At 39.0% G+C, this 20,792-nt stretch overlaps 1 long non-coding RNA gene across 2 annotated transcripts in view; it reads left to right on the forward strand.

The window, feature by feature from the left end:
• Window positions 1–10,372: 10,372 nt before the first annotated feature.
• The window catches only part of LOC107985511 (uncharacterized), a 79,588-nt gene continuing 69,168 nt past the window's right edge, over window positions 10,373–20,792 (forward strand). For both annotated transcript variants that reach the window (XR_001754975.1, XR_001754973.1), the window contains exon 1: window positions 10,373–10,794. This is a non-coding gene — a long non-coding RNA (uncharacterized LOC107985511). The remainder of the gene's footprint in view (window positions 10,795–20,792) is intronic.

A 20,792-nucleotide genomic window follows, 5' to 3' on the forward strand; every position in this document is an offset into this window, starting at 1 on the left:
GAAATTCTGGGTAGAAGAGGGCAGGTGCCCAGTGAGGGCCCTGCTGATTCTCATCAAATCCCTGGTCTATCATGGATAGCTTGGTATAATTGAGAGGCTTAATTCTAGTCCTCCATTATGCACACCTGAAAGTGTCTCCTCTTCCATTCTCCCATCTCATCATTGGGATCCCATTTAGGGTCATCCAATGGTACTGTTTCTCTTCCAGTTGGATAAAGTTTGACCCCTTCCCTGACACTATATGTGATACAAAGCTCAATCCTTTCTGGAAAGGCTAAGAAGGGCTTTGATAAAGCACACCTCTCTATCTCCTGATTCAGTTGAGGGACACTTAATCCCTAAATGTATTTAAAAATCCATGTATTACTAAAAAATAAGTGGATTACTCAGGTATCCCCTGATATCAGGAGGAAGCTGCAGAAATGGGCCCTGAGACCAGATAGTACTTTAGAGAACCTCCTGAAATTGACCACTTCCATCTTTTATAATAGAGATAGGGAAACCCAAGAGAGAGAGAGGAGACACAGGAAAGAGGCAGAGGCTTCAATGGCCACCATGCAAGCCCACAAACCCAGAATCCCTGAGGTGCACCTCTTAACTGCTACAGATGTGGTAAGCCAGGAAATTTTAGGAAGAATTCCCCAGGCAGCATGAGGAACCCACCTTGACCCTGTCCAATCTGCAAAGGGGACCACTGGAAGGTGGACTGTCACCAGGGACACTGGTAACTGGGTTCAGAGCCAATCGCCCAAATGGTCCAGCAGGACTGATGGCTCCCAGGGTTCCTCTTTCCAGCTCCAGTGGTCCAGACCACCACTACCATCCAGGAGCTCCAGATAATTTTGGAAACTGAATAGAGAAAAGTGGATCTCCCTCTGCACACCATGGCTGGTCTCTCAGTTCTCCTCTCCAATCTGAGCTCCCTCTACTCTCTTAGCATAACTAGTGAGGGGTGTCTCAGGAAGTCCTTTAATCCAATATTCTTCCCAACCCGTTAATTGTAGTTCAGGAGACCTCTTGTTCACCCATGCCTTTCTAATTATCCCTGAAAGCACCAACTCCTCTGTTGGGTAGGAATATTCTGACCCATATGGGGACCACCATCCTGATGGCCACAGGACAAACTCTTTCTCTCTCCCTAGTGGAGACTAATATTAACCCAGAAGTTTGGGCAATTCAAGGGAAAATTGGCTGAGCCACAACCACCATACCGGCTGGGTCCACCTTAAGGCTCTCACCTCCTTTCCTAACCAGAAACAATAGCCCCTGAAACCAGAAGTTAAGAAAGGACTAGAAGCCATTATTGATAACTTAAGGTTGCAAGGCCTCCTCAAACCCTGGAACAGCCCTTTAATACCCCAATATTCAGGGCACAAAAACCCAGTTGGGAATGGAGACTAGTTCAGTACCTCCACCTCGTTAATGAGGCTGTGGTTCCAATTCACCTGGTGGTTCCCAATCCACATTCCCTACTAGCTCAAATACCTAAGGAAACTAAATAGTTCACAGTCCCAGACCTAAAGGATGCCTTCTTCTGCCTACCATTGCACCCCAACTCCCAATATTTGTTTGCATTTGAGGATCCCTCCAAATAAACCACCCAGTTAACCTGAATGATGTTACCTCAGGGACTCTGAGATGGCCCCCACGTGTTTGGACAGGCATTGTCAAGAGAACCCTCTGAGTTACTTTATCCTCAGGTGAAAGTTTTACAGTATGTAGATGACATACTTCTCTGAACTTCAACTGAGGAAATCTCTCAGGAGGGCAGTAAGGCTCTTCTTAATTTCCTGGCTAACAGAGAATACAAGGTTTCAAAATCTAAAGCTCAGCTCTGTCAGACTTAAGTGAAGTACCTAGGTCTGGTCTTGGCAGAGTGGACCAGGGCATTGAGCAAAGAAAGGATTAATCCCATTTCCTCCTTTCCTTTCCCCAAAACACTCAAGCAACTGAGGGGATTCTTAGGCATTACAGGATTCTGCAGACTATGGATACCTGGGTACAGTGAATAGCTCATCCCTTATATCACCTAATAAAGGAGATTTGGATAGCTAAAACTCACTAATTTGGGAACCAGAGGCTAGAAAAGCCTTTGACCAACTGAAACAAGCCTTGCTTAAGGCAATACTCCTTAGTCTTCCCATAGGGAAGATGTTTAATCTTTATACCTCAGAAGGAAAGGGAATGGCCTTGGGAGTTCTAACCCACATCTGGGGTCCAGCCCAGAAACCTGTAGGCTACCTAGGTAAGGAGCTTGATTTTGTAGCCAAAGGAGAGCTGGCTTGCCTCCAGGCAGTTGCAGCAGTAGCCTTTCTGGTTACCAGAGGTTACTGAGTTAACCATAGGGAATAACTTAACCATCTATACTCTGCATAATGTGGCAGGACTTTGGTTTTCTAAGGGGAGTCTCTGGCTAATGAATAACTGCCTCCTCAGGTATCAAGCTCTGCTATTAGAGGGATCTGCAGTCCAAACAAGGACCTGTCCATCCCTAAATTCAGCCACCTTCCTCCCAGGGGAAGCTGAGAGCTTGAACATGACTGTGAACAGATAGTAGTATCCAGCCAGAGAGGGCCTCTAGGAAACCCCCTTAGAGAACCCAGACAAAATTCTCTTTATGAGTGGAAATTCTTTTGTAAAACAAGAGATCCATAAAGCATGGTATGCTATAGTTATTCTGACTGATATTTTTGAGAGCTCGTCTCTCTCCTCGGGAACAAGAGCTCAACTAGCTGAGCTCATTGCCCTCACGAGGGCACTCAAATTAAGCAAAGGGAAAGCAGTTAACATTTACGCTGATTCTAAGTATCCTTTCCTAGACCTCCATGCCCATGCTGCTATCTGGAAAGAGAGAAACTTTCTCACAGCTAATGGGTCTCCCATTAAATACCAACAGGAAATTAATTGACTATCATCCTCAGTTTTCATCCCATAGGAAGTAGCAGTAACACAATGTGAAGGCCCCCAAAAGGAATGGATAAAGTAACTGAGGGAAATAGGTTGGAAGACTAAGCAGCTAAGTCAGCAGAGAGAGGGCCTCAGATTTCTGATCCACTTGAAGCCCCACTGGTCTGGGAGGGCCTCATAGGAGAAATAAAACTTCAGTATTCTCCTATGGAAATAGAATGGGGCACCTCTTGGGGTTACATCTTTCAGTCCTCAGGATGGCCACAATTGGAGGATGCCAAGCTTCATCTACTGGCTGCCAAACAATGGAAAGTTCTTAAAAGCCTTCACCAGGCCTTTCACCTGGGTAAAGATAAAACCTTTCAAATGGTTCAGAGATTGTTCTCAGGTAAAAACCTGACACAAATAGTTAAACAGGTTGTTAATGCTTGCAAGATTTGCCTTAAAAATCATCCCTTCAGCTGACCACTTCTGCACCCAGGAACTCAAAGGACAGCAGGCTGAGGGAAAACTAGCAAATGGATTTCACCCATATGTCAAAGGTAAGGGGCATCCAGTACCTTCTAGAATGAACAGATACCTTCACTAACTGGGTAGAGCCATTTCCATGTGGGACAAAGAAAGCCTCCAAGGTGGTAAAAGTACTGATTAATGAGATAATTCCTTGCCCTGGCCTGCCTAAGCAACTTCAGAGAGATAATGGCCTCTCATTCAAGGCAGCTGTGACCCAGGGGGGGTCACAAAGGCACTAGGAATACACTACCATCTTCATTGTGCTTGGAGACCACGATGCTCAGGAAAGATAGAAAAGACAAATGATATTATAAAAAAGGCACCTCAGAAAACTATCTCCCTCAGACTAATCTTCCCTAGACTAACCTTCTCACCATAGCTCTACTACATATTTAAAACAGCCCTTTAAAGCTAGGTTTGAGTCCTTTTGAAATGATGTATGGACAGCCTTTTCTCACCAATGATTTCTTGCTAGACAAATAAATCTCTGATTTGCTAGACAAATAAATCTCTGATCTTTGGCCCATTTCCAACAGGAACTGGAGCAACTGTCAGAGGCCCAATCCCATGAATTTGGGCCACTTCTATTCAACCCAGGGGACCTAGTACTGATGAAGGTACTTCCTTCCCTTCCTCCCTCTATAAACCCAGATTGGAAGGGACTTTACGCTGTACTTGTTTCCACTCCTACAGCACTGAAAGTCACTGGAATATGTTCTTGGATTTATTATACCCAAGTAAAGGCCTGGAAAGCTCACAGAGTTACCTCCATCAACCCAGAAGACCACCGAAAGTAACAATGTGAAGAGATCAGAGATCTCAAGTTAATAATTTTTTAAAAAGTGTTAATAATTAGCCTTTCAGGTATATTCTCTTTATAGTCTTGCCTATGCTTGCTGTTGTTACCTTCGTTCTATTGTATACCACAGGTTAAAAATGGTGATTTCAGAATGATTAGTATATTTCACTTATTTCTGTAATCTTTGGCACAAAATTCTTTCCTTTTAACTCCTCTTTGTGTAATACACATATTTGATCCACACATACTTAACTTTGTAAAACTTGTTTTTTCTTGCCTAGAGGCCATCAAACTCCAAGCTATCAAACAACCGGAGCCTCAGACAATGGTTCCCTTTTGCTGGGGACCTCTGGGAGGAATCTGACTGCTGTTCTGCCTAAAACAACACCCCCTGTCACCAAAAAGCCTGACACCATGACCCAAAGTGAGAACTTATATCATTGTTTTCCTGCTCTAATGTTGCCTTTTCCAAAACCACTCATGTTCTGTCCCACCCCCATCCTGTACAGATAAAAATCCCAGGCTCAGCCAACAAAAGAGGAGAAGCAGCTGGACGTCAGAGACTATGGTTGCATGTCGGAGAGAAGCAGCTTAACTTTAAAGAGAGAGCTTGATGGTGTCACTTCAGAGAGGAGTCTGGCCAGGGATGGTCAGACTTCAAGGGAGGATTGCCTCCCCACCCTGTCCCCTTTTCAACTCCCATCCCACTAAGAGTGACTTTCATCAGCAATATAATCCCCTGCATTTACCATCTTCAATTCATTCATGCAACCTCATGTTTCCTGGATGCCAGAAAAGAGCTCAGAGCCACAAATGTGGTGCAAAAGGCTGTCACACTGACCCTCCATTGAGCTGTTAACACTAAAGCCATCCACAGATGGCAAAGCTAAAAGTCCACTGTAACAGTCATTCTGGGGCTTCAGGGGTTGTGAGCACCCTTCAAGATGGTGCCATGAGTTTTTCTCCTATTGGTGCCCAAAAGCACTCACCCTGGTTTCTGCACCCACTCACCTGCATACTCCCTCTTGTGAGGGGTTGAGAACTGTGGGATGAGTAAGTGAGGCACTCCTGTCATGAGGCCCATGAAGGGGTCAGAGAAATATCCTGCTTCAAAATTAATAACTCAACATCTTTTACAGTAGTTGCAAAAAAAAAAGAAAAAAGAAAAAAAAACTTAAGAATACATCTAACCAAAGAGGTGAAAGACCACTACAAGGAAAACTACAAAACACTGCTGAAAGAATTCATAGATGACACAAACAAATGGAAACATATCCCATGTTCATGGATGGGTAGAATCAATATTGTGAAAATGATCATACTGTCAAAAGCAATCTAGAAATTCAATGCAATTCTCATAAAAATACCATCATCATTCTTCACACAACTAGAAAAAGCAATCCTAAAATTCACATGGAACCAAAAAAGAGTTCACATACTCAAAGAGTAAGCAAAAAGAACAAGTCCGGAGGCATCACATTACATGACTTCAAACTATAATGTAATGCCATAGTCACCAAAACAGCAAGGTACTGGTATAAAAGTAGGCACAAAGACCAATGGAACAGGATAGAGAGGACAGAAATAAAGCAAAATACATATAGCCAACCAATCTTTGACAAAGCAAACAAAAACATAAAGTGGGGAAAGGACACCCTATTCAACAAATGGTGCTGGGATAATTGGCAAGCCACATGTAGAGAATGAAACTGGATCCTCATCTCTCACCTTATGCAAAATCAACTCAAGATGGATCAAACACTTAAATCTAAGACCTCAAACCATAAAGATTCTAGAAGATAACATTGGAAGAACCCTTCTATACATTGGCTTAGGCAAAGACTTCCTGACTTAGAACACAAAAGCAAATGCAACAAAAACAAAGATAAATAGAAGGAGCTTAAACTAAAAATCTTCTTCACAGCAAAAGAAATAATCCTCAGAGTAAACAGACAACCCACAGAGTGGGAAAAATTCTTTGCAAACTGTGCATCTGACAAAGAACTAATTCCAGAATCTACAAAGAACTCAAACGAATCAGAAAGAAAAAAAACAAACAATCCCATCAAAAAGTGGGCAATTGACATGAATAGATAATTCTCAATTTTGGCCATATACAATGGTCATATACATATAAAAAATGCTCAACATCACTAATTTTCAGGAAAATGCAAATCAAAACCACATTGCCATACCATACCACCTTACTCCTACAAGAATGGCCATAATTTAAAATTCAAAAATTGTAAATTTTGGTATAGATGTGGTGAAAAGCAAACACTTTTACACTGCTGTTGGGAATGTAAACTAGCACAACCACTATGGAATACAGTATGGAAAGCCCCTGAAGAACTAAAAATAGATCTACCACTTGATACAGCAATTCTACTACTGGGTATCTACTCAGAGGAAAAGAAGTCATGATATCAACAAGACACTTGCACACACCTGTTTGTGACAGCACATTCACAATTGCAAAAATATGGAACCAGCCCAAATGCCCATCGATCAACAAGTGGTAAAGAAAATGTGGTATGTATATATCATGGAATACTACTCAGTCATATAATGGAATAAAATAATGGCATTTGCAGCAACCTGGATATAGTTGGAGACCATTATTCTAAGTGAATTAACTCAGGAATGGAAAACTAAACATCATATGTTCTCACTTGTATGTGGGAGCTAAGCTATGAGGATGCAAAGGCATATGAAAGATACAATGGACTTTGGGGACTCAGGAAGGGAGAGGGGGTGAGGGATAAAAGACTACACATTGGGTGCAGTGTACACTGCTTGGATGATGAGTGCACCAAAATCTCAGAAATCACCACTAAAGAACTTGTTTACATAACCAGACACCACCTGTTCCCCAAAAACCTATTTGAAATAAAAATAATACTTGAAATAAACTTAAAAAGGAATAAATGGAAGGGCATTAATGTATGGATTGGAAGACTTAGTACTGTTGCAATAGCAATACTCCCCAAATTGATCTATAGATTCAATGCAATTCTTATGAAAGTGTCAGCTGCCTTTTTTAGAAATTGGCAAAAAGATCTTAAGATTCACATGGATGCAAGGGACCCAGAATAGCTAAAACAATCTCTAAAAGGAAGGACAAAGTTGGAGGACTCCCATTTCCAATTTCCAAACTTAATACAAAGTGCCCATAATCAATATAGTATGGTACTTGCATAAGGACAGACATACAGGTCAATGGAATGAAATTTTGAATCCAAAAATGCACCCTTCTATTTATGGTGAATTGATTTTCACAAGGGTACCAAAGAAGTTCAATGAGCAAAAATACATCTTTAAAAAAAGACACTAAGACAACTGGATATAATGCACAAGAATGAAATTGGGCTCCTATCTCACACAATATATAAGCATTAATTTTTTTAAGAAGAGCAGAGTATGAAGTATGAGAGTTAAAACTATAAAACTCTTAGAAGTCAACATAGTAGTAAATCTTTGTGACCTTGAATTAGGCAATGATTTTCTAGTTATGAAACCAAAAGCAATAATAAACAGATAAAATTACACTTTATCAAAGTATTTTTGCATTTCAAAGGAAAACATGAAGAAAGTGAAAAAACCCACAGAATGGGAGCATTATTTGCAAATTGTATATCTGATAGGAGATTTGTATCCAGAATATTTAAAGAATTCTTGTAACTCAACAACAAAAAGACAAATAACCCAATTTAAAAATAGACAAAGAATTTCAATAGCTATTTCTGCAATATACAAGTGGTCAATAAGCACATGAAAAGATACTTAACATCATTAATCATTAGGGAAATGCAAATTAAAACAACAATGAGATACAAATTTGCACATACTAAGATGGTTATAATCAAAAGGACAGACAGTGACAAGAATTAGTGAGGATAATTGAAACCTTCATACAATGCTGGTGGAAATTTTAAATTATGCAGCCACTTTTGAAAACAATGTGTCAGCTCCTTAAAAAAAGTTAAACACAAAGTTACCATTTGATCAAGCAGTTTCACTCCTAAGTATATAATCAAGAGAATTAAAAGCACATGTCTACACAAAATCTTGCAGAGAAATGTCATAGCAGCATTATTCATAATAGACCACAAGTGGAAACAATCCAAATGTCCATCAACTGATGAATGGATAAATAAAATGTGTCAGATCCATACAATGAAATATTATTCAGCAATGAAAAGAAATGAAATGTAATACATGTTATAACATGGATGACCTTTAAAACATTATGCTAAGTAAAAGAGGCCAGAAACAAAAAGGCCACATATTGTATGAATCCTTTTATATACAAGGTAGAGTAGGTAAATCCATAAAGACAAAAAGTCATTCAGTGGTTGCCAGGACCTAGGAGGTATGGGAGAATGGAGAGAATTGCTAAAGGGCATGAGCTTTCCTTTGGGATGATAAAAATATTCTTTTAAAAAAACTGTATGAGGTACAAGTTCAATTTTATTACATGCATAAATTATGTTGTGGTGAAGTCAAGGCTTTCAGGGTATTCATCACCCAAATAATGTACATTGTATCCATTAGGTAATTTCTCATCATCCACCCTTCTCTTACCCTTTCACCCTTCCAAGGCACCATTGTCTATCATCCCCCACTCTACGTCCATGTATACACATTATTTAACTCCCACTTATAAGTGAGAACATGCAATATTTGTCTTTCTATATCTGACTTGTTTCACTTAAGGAAATGACCTCCAGTCCTATCCATGTTGCTGCAAATGACGTAATTTTTTTAATGGATGAGTAGTATTCCATTGTGTATATATACCACATTTTTTATCCAATCATCTGTTGATAGACACATAGATTGATTCCATATCTTTGCTATTGTGAATAGTGCCACAATAAACATACAAGTGCAAGTATCTTTTTGATATCATTACTTATTTTCTCTTGAGTATATACCCAGTATTGCAATTGCTGAATCCAATGGTAGCTTTGTATTTAGTTCTTTGAGAAATCTTCATACTGTTTTCTATAGAGGTTGAACTAATTTATATTCCCACCAACAACATATAAGAGTTCCCTTATCTCCACATACTCACCAACATCTATTATTTTTTGACTTTTTAATAGTAACCATTCTGACTAGAATAAGATGATATCTTGTTGTAGCTATAATTTGATTTCTTGCTAATTAGCGAAGGGATGATAAAAATATTCTAAAATTAGATACTGATGATGCTTGCACAACCCTGTGAATATACACTGCAAAAGGGTGAATTTTATGTGTGAATTATATCTCAATAAAATATAAAACAATATTTTAATTAATAAATAAAATACATCTGTTTACCCCCCCCCAAAAAAAAACCCAGATCAATGGCTAGAAGGCAAAGAAGCTAGAAAATACACTATTCCTATTCTAAAGCTGATAATCATTTTACCATGTTGTAGATATCTCTAAGTAAGAAGTTGACAAAGATCAACAAAAAGATGTGTTCCATTCCAAAAATTTCTCGATTCTATGATTCAGCGCAGAAAGATTGTGCAAGTTTATACTTTAGTAATACAGAACAAAGTGAGTACTGGTGATAGCAGCAGAAGGCAGACACATTTCTAGGCAGACAGGGGTGAGTCCCCAGTAAAACTAGACCTTCAAACCAAGCACAGCTTAAAGCCTGAAAACTGAGTTACCAGCGTCCACAACCAGAGTGAGAACTTCCTCAGTGCCTTTTAGCCAATTTAATGGTGCTTTGTCCAGGCCCACTTATGGACCAATCAGCACACACTCCCCCATTCTGATCCCATAAAAACCCTGGACTCAGCCACATATTGGGACTACATGCTTTCAGGTAGGGGCTACCCACTTCAGGTCCCCTCTTGTGTCAAGAGCTGTTCTGTTGTCTCTTCTCTGCCTTGCTTATTCTCCAGTTGTCCATGTAACCTCATTCTTCTTGGACATGGGACAAGAACCCAGTACCCACCAAATGGCAGGTGCAAAAAATGCTGTAACACTGTAGCCCTCCAACCCTCTGCTGGCACCAGGCTGTTGCTTCATGTAACAGGAAGCAGTGGCAATGGGGCCAGGCCAGCCAAGAAGCTATGAGCTGGAATGTGGGCAGCAGGACTGAACAAGCTGTAAAACAAATGAGCTGAAACTTGCTGCCCTCCCACCCCCATTCACTGTGCTGCAGGCAGTGGAAAGAAGAGAGAGATGTATCACTCCTTGAGGGCTCAGACCTCAGGACTCCCCAAGCAACTGTAACACCCCTTGGGCTCCACAGTTGCTGGCATCTCTGAGTTTTCAGAAGCCACTGCAGCCTCCTTGTCCAGACACTGGCACCCAAGCAGAAATGATTCAAGACAGCACACCCGGACCAGTCATGGACTGAGCACAGAGTTGGCAGGCACTGGATCCAGGCCCATAGCACAAGCTGAGTGCAATCACTGGGCTGAGTGAGAGGAGTAAGCCTAGCAGAAAACCCAGTGCCAAGCAAAGCCTGAGCAAAGGCACCACTAGCCACAGAGCTTTCCTGCTGGCAAAGGAGCACCAAAAGAATCCTGTGTCATTTCTGGGGGTCATCTGAGATCTGCAAAAGGGTAAGTAAAAGTGGACCTCTTTCACTTTCATTTCGAGGCTTCTTGTCCTCAGTTTTTTTTTCTGAAAACAGATAAAGCGCTAGGCCTGTAGCAGCCAGTTAAGAACAAATGGCATGGCTGCAGAGGATAGATTTGTTGGGGAGGACTTTCACAACGCACCCTCTTGTCCCCATCACCCCCAGGTATCGAGAATATTGGCTTTGTTCCAATCCAGTCTCCCTTCACAGAAGTCTAGTTATCATGTGGGATCAAAATAAGGTCCTGGGGCAACTGAAAGTATCTGGCCAAGGGTACATCTCTGCATTACCTGAAGCTTCCTGGGCCAGCCCTCAATCCCTGACAGCCCATTCGGGTGTCAGCCAAGACCTTCAATCTTTCTTATGGATTTTTTTTTCCTTTGCAGAGGTCATAGCTCCTATCTCTTCTTTATATACAATGCTAAGGGTGTTGTTGCAAACCACAGAGATAATATGACTGGGTAGAATGAGCATTTGGCTCAGTCATCAGGAGTATAATTCAGAACAATGTGGTATGTGTCCATTCTTAGAAACTAAGAGGATGTAACAATTGAGAGTTTTCTGTCCCCTGTTAAAGGAATCAATTTGCATAGGGCAAGAGCCTATTTCCCCCCAGCCACCTTCCCCTTCCCTGCATTTAAGGGTTCCTCCCACTGCCCCCCGCACCTTGTCAGGAGTCAACAGCTTCACCTTAGCATTGTGCTTATGATAGAGAAGCAACCGAGGAGCTGCCCTACTGGTTGTTGGCTGCAATTTGCTGAGGACCACCTGGGACTAGTTTAATGGGTCTGTGTACACTCCTGAGGCACCTTTTTGTCCCAAATTCAATTCCAAGCTTCAGGTTGAAGGCCTAAAGAGGGAAAATTAGATCTGAGGGACCCAGAGGCAGTCAGAGTGGAAGGCTAGGGCACAGCCCGAGTGAGCATGACTATCCTTGCTAATTAGGCCTTCCCACTTCACTGGGAAGAACTATCATCATGACTTTGATGTGAAATCAGAATTAAGAACTAATTCTCTGAACTTACAGTGTGAAGATTACATCTGCAGAGCAGACACGCAAGTGGTTCTCAGGAACCATTCAGTTTTTAAAATACAATTTCTGGCAGTATGTAAGATTGGTCATTACAAACCCTGCTCCTCTCTCCCTACCTTAATAACCAGGACCCCACTTTTCAACATTCTGAATATCACCAGTCTTAGGGAACCAAGTCCTCCACTCCATCAAACACTTCTAGAAACTGCTTCGTAAAAGTATCACTTGTGAATCCAGAAGAACTGACTGACAGAGCAGGAGCATCATCATCTTGGACAAGTCCCTCATTCTAAAGTTCACCTTAATAAAAACCACCTAAATCCAAAGGGTATCAGCCTAATGGCTAAGGTCAGCATGACCATAAACCACAAATAACATCTCCAACCAGAAACATTCCAAACTCCTCCACAACCAGGGACATGCTAGCCCCGAGATAAACACCACTCCAGGCCAGAAGGATGTCTGCCCCAAGATAACCTCCCCTCCTCGCAAAGAGATTCCAACCCTGTCATAAACTTCCCCAACACATAAATATTCCAAGTTGTAATAAGCCCCCCCTCCCTAAGACCAATATATACTCTTAGTCTGTAAGAGAAAACTCTCCTGACTGATATCAGCCAGGAGTGCCTCTCAGGTTTTAACTAAAGAAAACCTGTCTTAGTGTTCTCATTGCTCAATTCCCACCTATGAGTGAGAACATGCGGTGGTTGGTTTTCTGTCCTTGTGATAGTTTGCTCAGAATGATGGTTTCCAGCTTCTTCCACATCCTTACAAAGTAAATGAACTCATCCTTTTTTATGGCTGCATAGTATTCCATGGTGTATATGTGCCACATTTTCTTAATCCAGTCTATCATTGATGGACACTTGGGTTGGTTCCAAGTCTTTGCTATTGTGAATAGTGCCAAAATAAAGGACATAGGATGGGGAACATCACACACCGGGACTGTCGTAGGGTCGGGGGAGGCGGGAGGGATAGCATTAGGAGATATACCTAATGTAAATGATGAGTTAATGGGTGCATCACACCAACATGGCACATGTATACATATGTAACAAACCTGCATGTTGTGCATACGTACCCTAGAACTTAAAGTATAATTTAAAAAAAGGAAAAAGAAAACCTGTCTTTAACTGCCAGCCACATTTCATGTTTCTTTCCTCTTTCTTTAACTCTTAAACTGACTATGTTCAATAATAAAGTCAATAAACAGGTCAAATAATATAAACATCCAGTTGATGTTTTCTGAATGTTAAATTTGTAAGACAAAGAGTTCTACAATTCTATGGAACAGGGATATGAAAGATAGTGGGAAGTAGGGAGAACATCAAAGATTCAAATGTTCATAGGTCTGTAGGTCTTTGTCAGATATTTATGACATGTTCTCAGGACACTGAACAAGAGCCAGTGTTTGAGTTCTTAGAATAAAGCAAATCCAAAAACATTAGTTTTCAGAGCTTGAATAGACCTTAGAGATCACCAAACCAAACTCCTTATTTTATGAACTAGAAAACTGCAGTGCTAAGAAAAACAAAACCAGATATGATTAGCTTATACAGTTAGTTGGAGATATGGGATTTGAATGCAGGTTTCTTGATTCATGGACCAGTCATTCTTTGGCAGTTTTAGTTCTACCTCTTCAGAGCAACCACAAATTATTTGAGAGAGTTGTCCTGTCTTCTTTATCAATACAAAGTATGCAATCTACAGGTAAAGTCCATTTAAGGAAGTTTAAATTACTCCTCTCGGCCTCTTAAGTTGTTCAGAGACAATCTCGGCACCATGAAATATGTTTTCTACTTAGTCTCATAGTATCCTCTTGATTTAATACTATGGAGATAGGTTGAATATCTCAAAAACATGACTTAAGAAGACACCAAGGGTCACCGGCCAATGTTCCTCCTACAGAAACAAAGAATTCAATCTTATAGATAACTCAAGAGAATAGAATCTCCTCATGATCATTCCCTCCCACTTTTCATTCTGTTCTTCTTTGCTGCTTTTAAACTCCTTTCCATTTCCCCTTTGCTTCTTTATATCTCTCTGCTCAAATACATACCAGAAACATTGGGACCAAGTCAGAGGTTTGAAGACTGAATATTCTTTTCCCTTTGCTCACCACAGGGACTCCACCTATTCATCCTAACCAAAATATATGAACAAGCTGCAACTCACTGCCTACTTTCTATTAGTTCCATTCTCATTTGTTTTAAGGCCTCGGAATATTGCATATGGATAATAACATAAAAAGTAATAAGTCCTCTCACAATTCCTTGTGAAATAAAAATCTAGCAATGGGGGTGGGGAGGATTGACAGTCTAATCATCTATTATAATAGCAGTATTTTGTTTTTTGTTTTAAACAAACTGCAGTTTGGAATAGCAATCTGTTTTGTTTATCATGTCAAGTTCTTATGAAAGTATTTCAGTTGGATTTCACCCAAAATCTATAACACACCATGTAATACATAATTTTGCTGTCATATGGTTGCAAATTTTGACACTTATTTTGCCAGAAAATACAGGTATGAATATGAAAGAGGCCCCCTCAGAGATTTATTGCTTAGTATCCCAGTAGTTCCTCAGTCTTTCTTTGTCGAAGCTCAACCAGCCAGTATTTTACCAAGCAGATTTTGTTGCCCTTTGTTTCTGTTTAGATTTCCTTAAAAATTACCCTTCAAAAAATCCATAGGCTAATTTTTTTTATTTTTATTGCTAATTGTTCCTAATTCTTCAACATTAAATGGTATAAACTGTCTTGGATATTCATAGCTAAAATAAATGCAGACAATTTTACAATTTCCTTGAATGGTCATGGTTGTACAATGAAACTTTTTGTTACTCTTTCAATTGCACATAAAAATTACTCTTTTTCTCTTTGTCTATCTACCTCAAAATTCTTTGTTTCAAGTATACAAATGAGTCATTAGTGAAAGCAAAATGGGTACTTTTTATCTAAGGAAGGTTAAAACTTAACTTACTTTAAAATTCAGCATTTTCTGGGTTAAATTAGAACACTACTTCAATATCTGCAATTCAAATAAGTCCTCTGAGAAATTGGCCTCCATAACCAGTGACGTGCTGCTGAACTGAACAGATCTCCAAAATATCCTAACAGATTTCTTTCTTTCATTGTAGAATTGTTTCCATCTGGTGCTTAGATATTAAACCTGGAATATGTAAAGGCTCTCCTCTCTCACCCTGTTTGACTTCCAAATGCTGGCAAATAATTTGCATTGTCAATGAATTGAGGATTAAAATTTTGAACTTAACTGAGTAGCTGCAAGATGCAAAATTTAAAGTGATAGATCTTCAAAGTAGTGAATTTTTCTCTTTTAATTTTGAGAAATGGAGACTTGAAATGTTACTTGTTTGTAGAACATTCTAATTTGAACTTTATTTGCTTAAAAAGAATAAAAATTTTCTCAATTTTTATCCCAAGTTCAGGATATCAAAACATGAATTTATGAACAGTATTATAGGCCAAATTTTTGAGTACTTAAATCAGAATATTAGCATCTAAAAATACTTGCATGCATATATTTCAAGAGATAAGCAGATAGCTATTTAGACGTATACATGTTGAAGTTTCCAAGACCCTCGGTCACTGACAGTGATTTCTTCATGAAAATTTTAAGGAGGCTTCACAGTAATAGAAAATAATGTCTGACTTTTACGATTGGCAACATTTTTCATGGCATTTTAACTGGAAAGCACAGAGTTACTTCTGAGAAACATAATTGCTTCCAGAAATGTTTAACCCACTAGGAGAATGTTTACATGAAGTGAGCAATAGTCACAAGAAGTGAATAAACCAATTCTATGCACACAGCAGTGTAAAAAGCCTGGAAGCAGGCATACAGGGATCTGTAAGAGAACCAATGCAGGACATGATCATTCTGTTCAATTGTTTTCTTATTGTCAGTAGTCTGGCAACTTCCACCCATTCCCCTTTAACCCAGCAGTTGATAGCACATGGCTTCCAGAGCAAATAGTCAACCAGTTCTCTTTTCCAAATCTTCACATTTAAGTCTGTCTTCCCCCTGACCATGCCTTTCTTTCTGACATTCCATTATACTTTCTTCACATTGTGTCTCATTTAATTGCTTCCTTTAATCTCTTTTTCTTAAATTTGATCTGCCTTGATCTGGAATATTTTCTGATGCACTGAAGTAAAACTGGTCATTCTCCATTTCATAGCTAGTTAAAAAGATAACTTTGAGTTCCTACACACACTTGGAACTGCTCACCATCTCTGCCAGTGTGCTCACATTTACTTAAAAAAAAAAAAGTCTAAGAAGACTTACGGCAAAGCATTACCTTGAGAAGGACAGTTAAGAATGTTTTGCTGATAGGCATATAATCACTTGACTGATTTTCACAAACATTTGTGGGAATCTGTTAAAGTATCTTAGTCCAGTTCGGTCTCAGCAGGACCCAACATCTTGACCCAAAGGCCTCCAAACAAAAAGATTCATTAAAGTGGTGAAAATTTTCCATAAAACTTTAAGACATCAAAGAACTAATTTCTGTAGTTCCCTGCCATGCAAAATATTACAGTATAAGTTTAGAGCTAATATTGGAACTAGAATAATCTAGAACAGATAGATATTCTCAAAATATTGTACATACTTTAAACTAAAATCTAAAAAAGATCCAAAAACACCCGTTGCAGTTTGCAACATGAGTCTTACAGAAAATTACAATGTGTACTTCTAGCTAAAAGGAGCAAACAAACAAAAATCAACGCTAAGTGAATGATGTAACTGTTTTGTATCTTTTCATCCACTCAAAAAGAAGAAAGAAAGAAGAAAGAGAGAGAGAGAGGAAGGAAGGGAGGAAGGAAGGAAGGAAGGAAGGAAGGAAGGAAAGAAGGAAGGAAGGAAGGAAGCGAAGGAAAAGAAGGAAAGGAAGGAAAGGAAGGAAGATTTTATTTCCTCCGATTAAAAGTTGCATTTTCTTTTCTGTCTCCTTTTTTCCTTCCTCTCCCCCATCTGCCCACTGTTCCCTCTTTCCTTTTCTCCATTTGTATGACAGTGGCACTGATTCAAAGAAGGGGTGGAGTCCGAAATTTTGGGTGGTCTTAGTAAAGCTTTAGTCTTTGGCTAACCTCTCCTTAAATTGGTCAGAAGCCAAAAATTTCCAGTATTAGGGAGAGTCACTTTGAAAAGTTGTATATGCATGTCTGTGTGCATGTCAATATATTTGCTCTGGCTTAACAAGAAAAACTGAACAACATATCCCTGTGTAAGCTGTGGTTCTTATTTGGTTTCAGTGTTCATTTATTTCAGTTTATTGTTTGACATCTCCCACTAGCTAAGCCAGGAAACTCATGGCAGATCTTCAAAAAATAACTCCACTCCCACATTTCTTTTTTTCTTTGTTCTGATTCTTTACTCTCTCTTACCCTCAAAAAGTTTAATGAAACAAGTGTTCAGGGAAAGATAGTATTTGCTTATTGTATCTTATTATAGTTTTAAGAACCAAACATAAAGTCTCCCTTACAGCTTCTCTGTTTTATTATAAAATTATACTTGATTCAGATTTGTTTTGAAAGACCAGTTTACTTTTTTTAATTAAAAAGAGGAATACAATGTCCTTTCCATAAGTAGACTCACAAAGAAGGTAGGAGTCATTTTCTTCCATTAATGTCACAACAAAACAGTCTTACATACTCTGAATTGGAGTGAAAATTAGAGAAATAAATCACCTGCATGATGAGCATACATTATCATGGAATTTTTAAAGGCCTCATCTTTTGGGTACCTGGCAATAACTAAGCAAAAATAACCAACAGGGTAAAAAAATGCCACCATCATTTCAATGAAAATAACCAAACTGCTCCCAGAAAACAAAGTAGCAAATCCATTTAGGCTCACTGGTGCATGTCTGGAACTTTCCAAATGAAACCTTGCATCAAAGAAAAGTTTAAACACTTTTCTTCAAGATCAGTCAAAACTAAACTAAAATTGCATGGCTTAAAGAGTTACAAATTTCCACTCTTAAAAGCAATCTTATTTTGGTTGCTTGCAGCTGGTCCCAAAGCAAGAAATGAAATATTTAAAATGGAGGAGTTTGCAATATATTACTGGATCCTTTCTTAAGTGGCTATCCCTCCAAAGAATGCCAAAACTTTGTAGACTTGATTAGGATTGCACTGGAGCCGGACTCAGCACTGCAGATTAGTGTAGAGCACGTTTTATCCAAAGCTAGCACGCAATGAATAAGCTTTATTTTTAAATGAAAAATTCCAAAGATACTGATTCACATAAAGAGGGAGCATTTCAAGTTCACATTATGAAAAGTCATTGGTAGGACCAACAATACAGTATTTAGTGTAGCTGTTCTGGAACACAATGGAGCTAAATTGATTAAGCAGGGATATGAGCTACAAAGTGAATATCAGATATAACAGACTAATGCTTTAAAGAACTACAAGCTGCTGATTCTCAATAGCCTTATGAGTTTTTAATTCTTACATTATAGAACTCTATAAACCAAATCACCTTCAAAATGATAATAAATTGAAAATCTTCAAAATAATCAATCTTCTTTGAATGTGCTTCTATTCAAAAAGAATGTGAGAATTGAGTTTTTCCAAAAAGTGACAAACCTAATTTCAGTGATGATGACTTTTTTTATTTCCAACTGGAGAAAGAGGCAAAGATCTAGTTGCTATTTAAGTTTGACAAAGTCTACATTTTGAGGAAATCTTATTATCCTTAGAATATTTAGAATAATGCTAGTAGTTAAGAGTGAACAATACTGTCTCTGTTTCTATATAGCAGAATGAGCACATGCATCTAATTGCAATATTATCTGACAGTCTACTTAAACTATAGTAAAGTATTTTTTAAAAGATTTAAACCCACAAAGACACAAAGAATAAGAATAAAGATAACACTGCATTGTGAGAGTTGAATGACACACACAGACACACACACACACACAGAGAGAGAAAGAGAGAGATTGACTAACGGCTATTTCCTCCCACTAGTAGTTATGGGAAACTTAGGGTAAAATCTAATTTATGTCAGAGAATACTCAAAAGGCATAGGAACTAACAGCAACAGGTGACTTTATAATGAGGGTTTATGGGAGACAGGAGATAAAATAAAGAGGCCCAGAGAAAAGCTTTTTGAGAAACAAGCAGATCTCAGGATCCTCTACTTGATTCCATGTTGCTGAGCAAGTGCCCTACCAGCACACGTGTAGAATGCTGGAAGCTTATTTTCTAGAAATGATTAAAAAAATAAATAAATAAATAAATAAAAGAGGATACTTTCATTTCCTGTGGTTGTAGTAAAAGAAGTCACCACAAATGGGGGTTTCAAACTTCAAAAATGTATTCTCTCTCAGTTCTAGAGGTCAGAACTCTAAAATCAGTTTCACTGAATCAAATGCAAGGTGTTGGCAGGACCTCATTTCCTCCATGAGAGAGTCCCTCCCTGACTTCTTCTAGCTTTCTCAAATGGCTGTGGCTCTCCAAACTCTGCCTGTATAGTCACACCGTCTCCTTTCCTGTGCATGTCAAATCTCCCTCTGCCTCTCTTTCACAAGGGTACAAGAGATCTCACCCAAATAATGCAATACAGTCCTACCATGTCAAGATTCTTAGTTAGATCTGCAAAGACCCTTATTTCTTATAAGGTAATATTTTCAGGTTCCAGGGATTAGGACTTGATGTGTTTTGGTGGCCATTAAAAATAGTGCCCTTGCTCTAATACAAAGAATATGTAATTTGCGAATGCCAGGCACCGTTGAGGGCATAGGTACCATAAATGACTATATGAAAAGAAACACACCAACTTCTTCCTCACTTAGCTTCCATAATGCCAAAAAAAGTGGACTCTTACCTTCCCTTAAATAGATCTAAAAGCTCTACTGTAAGGAACTTGATTAGTCCAAAAAGAAAGTTCTAAAGTTAGTGCCCCCAAAATGCCCCCACCACCAGATTATTCTGCAGTGAAGCTCAAAGTCAACAAATCAGATCCACATGATCACAGTCTCCATTCAGTCTTTTATTCTTCCACTCTTAATCACAGGCATACAGAGATTGCCAGATATCTGAGAGAAGCTTCAAACATGGAAGATAGACTCTAAAATAAACAAACAAAAAGCAAATACCTCTTTGGGGGTAGCAGGCTATTCAAGGAAAGAAGCTTACTTTTTATAGTAGTGATAGCCTCTGAACAATAAAAACAGATGGAAACATTTAGAGACCTGAAAGAACAATAAAAAAATTTAAGAATTGAAAGACTTAAACTAAAATTATCTACCCATTCAGTCCATCAACATATAAATAGAGAAAATAAGCCATTTTCAGATTTGCAAAATACCAAATTTTTGATTTTCTCGTAACCTTCCTCAAAAAGTTATTGAGGATGTTTACTCTGAACCAAAATGGAGTAATAGAAACTAGATTTAATCTCTTCCTTGATACAAACAAAAAAAGACAAAAATAATGAGAAAGCCATTTGAAAGACACAACATCAGGCAACAAAGGTAAATCCTAATATTACCCCAGTTTACCACCTTGAGAGTTTACAGATCCAAAATGAGTGATGAAAAACTCAGATGGAGCCCAGAGGCTCCCTGAGTTGAGGACACAGAGATGAGACTCCAGAGAGATGAAGAACGAAGTTAGAGTTTCTAGGAAAGAGTACCAGAGAGGAGAGAGCTCACAGGACGAAACCCAGAGAACTGCAGAATGTGCCCCACAAGTAGCGATCAGTGCTATAAGTGAGAAGACTACCCAAAGTAGGGGGGAAAACACCCAAAAGGGCAGTGTTAACAGCATCTGCTTCTCACACAGGGATGGTAAGAGGACCTCATCTCACCCAGCAATCTGGGAAACCTCTTTGTTTACAGGCATTGGATAGGATACACAGAAGGATCTCATCTCTGGAGTACTTTTCCAGCCCTCTTAACACATCCAAGAAGCAAAAA

Source organism: Homo sapiens, chromosome 21 (assembly GCF_000001405.40).
Source record: "Homo sapiens chromosome 21, GRCh38.p14 Primary Assembly".
Classification (NCBI taxonomy): Eukaryota; Metazoa; Chordata; class Mammalia; order Primates; family Hominidae; genus Homo; species Homo sapiens.